The sequence below is a fragment of the Homo sapiens genome, chromosome 5 (assembly GCF_000001405.40).
Source record: "Homo sapiens chromosome 5, GRCh38.p14 Primary Assembly".
Lineage (NCBI taxonomy): Eukaryota > Metazoa > Chordata > Mammalia > Primates > Hominidae > Homo > Homo sapiens.
Window position 1 is genome coordinate 153,821,713 of NC_000005.10, and position 5,089 is coordinate 153,826,801.

General features: G+C 42.3%; 1 annotated feature.

Annotated features, from left to right (window-relative positions):
• Window positions 3,087-3,627: an enhancer, noted in NCBI's record as "OCT4-NANOG hESC enhancer chr5:153204359-153204899 (GRCh37/hg19 assembly coordinates)". NCBI's record gives its function as "activates a minimal SCP1, AML or CMV promoter by ChIP-STARR-seq in naive and primed H9 embryonic stem cells {active_cell/tissue: H9 hESC(naive and primed)}" and the evidence as "EXISTENCE:reporter gene assay evidence [ECO:0000049][PMID:30033119]".

The following is a 5,089-nucleotide window of genomic DNA, read 5'->3' on the forward strand; positions in this document are numbered from 1 at the left end:
AAAAAAATCATTTTGATTTTTCTTTAAAAAAAATGCATTGTGACTTGGAGATCTTGTCTTCATATACAAACTCATTTAGGAAAGAAAGAAAAAGATACTATTAATTCAATTTGATTGAGTAATCAGCTTAATGAACTGGTTAGACCCCATTTAGTAATGATATAGAAACTAGCTTCTCGGGCATTGGAAAACCATTAGGAAAAAAAAAACAGTATAATACTGGTAGTAGATATCTGTGGATTTTGGCAACAGGGCATTCCTCCCTTTGGGAAGGAGCTCAAATCATGTGATCCTGTTTGTACTGCCAGTCTTAGCACCCTGCCCCACCCACACCTCTGGCCCAGGCAACTATAGTCGCTTTTTGCACTGGCCACAGTGACTGGGCTAGATATGATCATATGGCCCAAGTTGGGCCAATTAGGATCCTTTTGCACTGGCCTAAATGATTGAGCTACATATGATCATATGGCCCTATTTGGGCCAATTAGAATCCGTCTCCAGGATTTTTAAATCTGGAGATCAAATGAGAGGGAGGTCTTACTTTTGAATCCAAGCAAAAAGTATCCAAGGGTATCTTCTAAATCATGTAGAGAAAGCCTCTCTACAGTAAGAAAGAGCAAAGATAACTTATCCAAAATTCATAACGGTGGGAAAAAGTCCTGATGGCATGTGAGTCTCTGGACCCGATTTTCCAGAGGTCGGCCCCCTTAACCAGATTTCCCAGGGACATGAACTAATCGATTGTTTATTCTGCCTAGTTGCTTTGAGTTAGATTTCCATCTCAAATAACCAAAGGAATTCTGATCCATCAATCAGTGACAAGCCATAAACCGTATAACTAAGAAAAAGGAAGTCAGCGTTTGAGATACAACCAGTTGCTTCCATAGTTAGCAACTGGTTTCAAACGAGTTTGATCGGATTCAAACTTTTCATGTCCAGATCCATGTTAGTGTATTGAGGCTCCAATGTCACCATCCTGACTCCTGTCAGCCTCCATTTTCTCCTCTGCTGTCAGAGGAAAGAATCCCCTCCTAGGGGCTGGAGCAGGGGCTGTGAGTGTTAACTCATAAATAATTGAAAGCTCTCTGAAAAAGATTTGGTGTTAAGGATGCAATAAATAAGTCCTCAAAGGGGTGCCTTTCTGTCCATAAAATTTTATTTTCTTCATCCTTTGGAAAATAGTCTATTAGCAGAGAGCTTCTCCCTACTCTCACTTTTCTCTCTCCCTTTGAATCATTTCAGGGAGAGAAGGGGAGTTTTTATTGTTCATGTTTACTTTTTTTCTTTAGCAGAGACTGGACACCTACAGTTGGCTATCAACTTTGCATTAACTGTGTTTCCACTGTTGTTAAAAAACACACTAAATGCATACATTCCATGAGGACTTGAGGGAGGTTGCATAGACAAATGAGAGTGTATAAACAGAAAAATGACAGACGCAAATTATACTAATACACAGGCCAGCAAGGCCAACGTGCAGTTTAGTACTTTAAAAAGCCCCTGAAAAATCTGTACCATGTGTTGACTCATACACAAAATTCCACTCACTACATTTGATTCTTTTACTTAGAGTGATGATTGCTCTGGAATAATCATCTTTCACATTGCCGCAGAATTCCATAGCCATAAAACTTTTTCATAACTGTCATCTGTCTTGGTCCACAGCAATGTTCTGAATATGGATGGAGTAGAGATTATTCTTCCTATTTTATAAATTAAAAACCTGAAGTTTAGAGAGATCAAGAGACTTGTTCAAAGTCACACAAGCAAAAGTGGATAAGCTGGAGCTAAAATATGAACATCCCAACTCATGATGGTCTCTACACTCTGCCAAATGAGAATGACAGACAGTTGCTGGGGATGTGATTGATATCCCTTACGTGGAGGAAAAGAGTAAAAACATGCATCAGTTAACTTGAAGATGTAATTGGCCAAGAGCTGTCCCTACATATAAAAAAGTGAAGAGAAGGAAACTAATATTGGTTGCAGGTAGAACCGAATTGAAGGATGATCTGACAGGACAGATGTTCTTGTTCCATCACTAGAAATTTAGGGAGGTGTGGAAAATTCTGTTCACTAGAAATTTAAGGAGGTGGGGAAAATTCTGTTCAACAGAATGCCTCAAGGAGAGCCCTCCAGGTGACTGCAGTGAATGTCTTCTAAGGAGTTACCAAGAACCCTTGAATTTCTCTGAAGGACATGCAAAGAGAGATGGTGCTGCCATTTCCCCTAATTGTGTATTATCTGTCCTCTGTATAATAATAAATATACTTAAAGAATATTAATCAGAAAAATTCCAGATGATACAGCTGCTGGGGCACCAAGAGGTCACAATCAGGTACAGGTGAATTTCTATAAGCCAGGCCCTGTGCCTGATGGCATGATATGCTCTCTCTTTTAATGTCCATAAGAATGGTCTGTGAGGCAGGCACTGTTATCTGCATTTTCACTTGTGATGCTCAGAAAGGTTAACTTGCCCAATGTCACAGAACTGTCAATTGGTAGAGTCAGGTTTAGATTTCAAAGTTATCTATCTCTGGACTTTCCCAGCCTGGCAGAAAGGTAAATGCTGAATCTTCGTTAATAGTCCAGAATGAAGCAGGGCATGGTGGTATGCACCTACAGTCCCAGATACCTGGGAGGCTAAGACAGGAGAATTGCTTGAGACCAAGAGTTCCAGGCTGTAGTGCAATATGATTGTGCCTGTGAATAGCCATGGCACTCCAGCCTGGGCAACACATAGTGAGACCTCCATCTCCAGAAAACAAAAAACTCTAGAATAATGACCTTGTAAACTAACTCATGGTCCATTTTTCAAAAATATGGATTTACAATAAAAACCAGTTATTTATCTTCATTTTTCTCCCATACCCACTGAAGAGAGAGCTGCAGCAAGGCCAGTTTGCAAAATATTTTCTGCACATCTAGCCTCATTCTAGTCTCACAATAACTTTATGAGGGCAAAGGGTGGGCACCAACATCCCCATTTTACAGATGAGGAAACACAGGCTCGGAGGGATTTAATGGGTTGCCCAAGGCCAACCCAGAACTTTTAACTACAGCTCCAGAAATCTTCCCACTCCACTCTCTCACCAAGCCCAGCACATATTCAGTACTCAATAAATTAATGAATTAATAGTAGATGACTTAATGCAAGGACTATATCTCAGAAGGATTGTGCTTTCAAATTCTCTACATGTAGCGCTTTCCTTGCTGCAGAAAACGAAGACTCATTAAATGGTCAAATCTGCAGAAGCCCTTCCCCCTATTCCCCTGAGAGAGGTGTCAGCAGTGCCATTTCCTTTCAACTTGGCCTTCCCCACCCCCACAGAGTGTGATCAGCCCACCTGCAGGCGCGTTCATTTGCTCTTTTCTCATCTATCCTACAGCTTTCTCCTGTCCCACTGGCTAGCACACTGCCGAAGCTCACACTTTCCCTTGCCCCCTGCCTCTCTGGCAGCAGCATGAGTCATCTCTGCCCATCCCTCTCTCAATCCAGCCCAGTAGGACCGACAGTGGCAAGAAGCATATGTGGAATTCAAGCCAGAAGATCACAGGAGACTTGCTGCCCCAACCCCACAGAAATGACTTCCTGCTGCACTAATCTTATTATGAACGTGAAGCCATGCCTGTGCCAGGGAGGGAAAGGTGAAGAGAGACCGCATATGCCCAGGATTTAGGATTACCATTTTCTTCATCTTGGGTTAATCATACACAAGTTCCCAGAATCTTGAACTCTCACAATTACAACAGCTGGAGGGTCACTATCTTAACATGCCTCTTGCTTGCATTCTTCCAGGAACATGCATACTCACCAACCTCCTTCAGGTAACTGGGTTCACATATAGCCTGCTCAGACTTTTTTAAGATAAACATCTCCACAATGTTCAGTAATACCTTGTGTAGCCAGGTATGGTGGTTCGCATCTGTAATTCCAGCTACTCAAGAGGCTGAGGAAAGAGGATCACTTGAGCCCAGGAGTTCAAGACCAGAACTGAGCCACCCCCATCTCTAAAAAAATAACAAGACCCCATCTCTAAAAAATTTTTTAATAGTAGTAATACATCATGTGACATGATTTCCTCATTCTCCAGGGTCATGTTAAGGGTCAGCTAAGGCTATATGTGTGTATGTATGTATGTCTCTGTATTGTACAGGCAAGAATATTTGTAATCTGCAGCATGCTATACTGGTTGTAAGGTAGCATTATTGTTATTATTATTTCCATAGTTTGGGTTCCTCCTCTGCATTCTAGTGATGCTTCAGTTTGTCACTTTACCCCAAGGTAACCCCCAGATATCTCAACATCACCAACTCCCTCATCTTCAAAAAGAGAAAGAAGACAGCAGCTCATATTTAATGAGCACAGTGTTAATTAAGCACTTTGTATCACTATGGCATTTGATCCTCTTAAGAACCCTGTGCTGGCCGGGCACAGTGGCTCACGCCTGTAGTCCCAGCACTTTGGGAGGCCAAGATGGGCGGATCACGAGGTCTAGAGATCAAGACCATCCTGGCTAAGACGGTGAAACCCCATCTCTACTAAAAATACAAAAAATTAGCCGGGCATGGTGGTGGGCGCCTATAGTCCCAGCTACTCAGGAGGCTGAGGCAGAGAATGGCGTGAAGGTGGAGCTTGCAGTGAGCCACGATCGCACCACTGCACTCCAGCCTGTGTGATAGAATGAGACTCTGTGTCAAAAAAAAAAAAAAAAAAAAAAGAGAGACTGTGATTATCCTCATGTTACAGATGAAGAAACTAAGGCCAAGAGTAAACAAGTAACTTGCACAAGATTGAAAATTATAAAAGGTAGAGTTAAAATCTGGGTCCAAATCTGTGGGACTCCAGCTCCTGACCCTCTAACCATGAGACTACAGGGTTTTGGAAGTCACCCAATGTGAGAGGCCATCATCTGCTCTGTTCTGTTCATTCATTAGGAATTCGATACTTTGGGGAAAGGGTCCCTGTCCTCAAAGAGGAAGTGGTCTAGGAAATGGAGCAAGAAAAAAGCAGGTGGTGTGGTAGCAGGTGCCTCTGTCACTGTCATTCTCAGAGGTTGGAGCTCAGTCAGGACACAGAGTGCTGAGG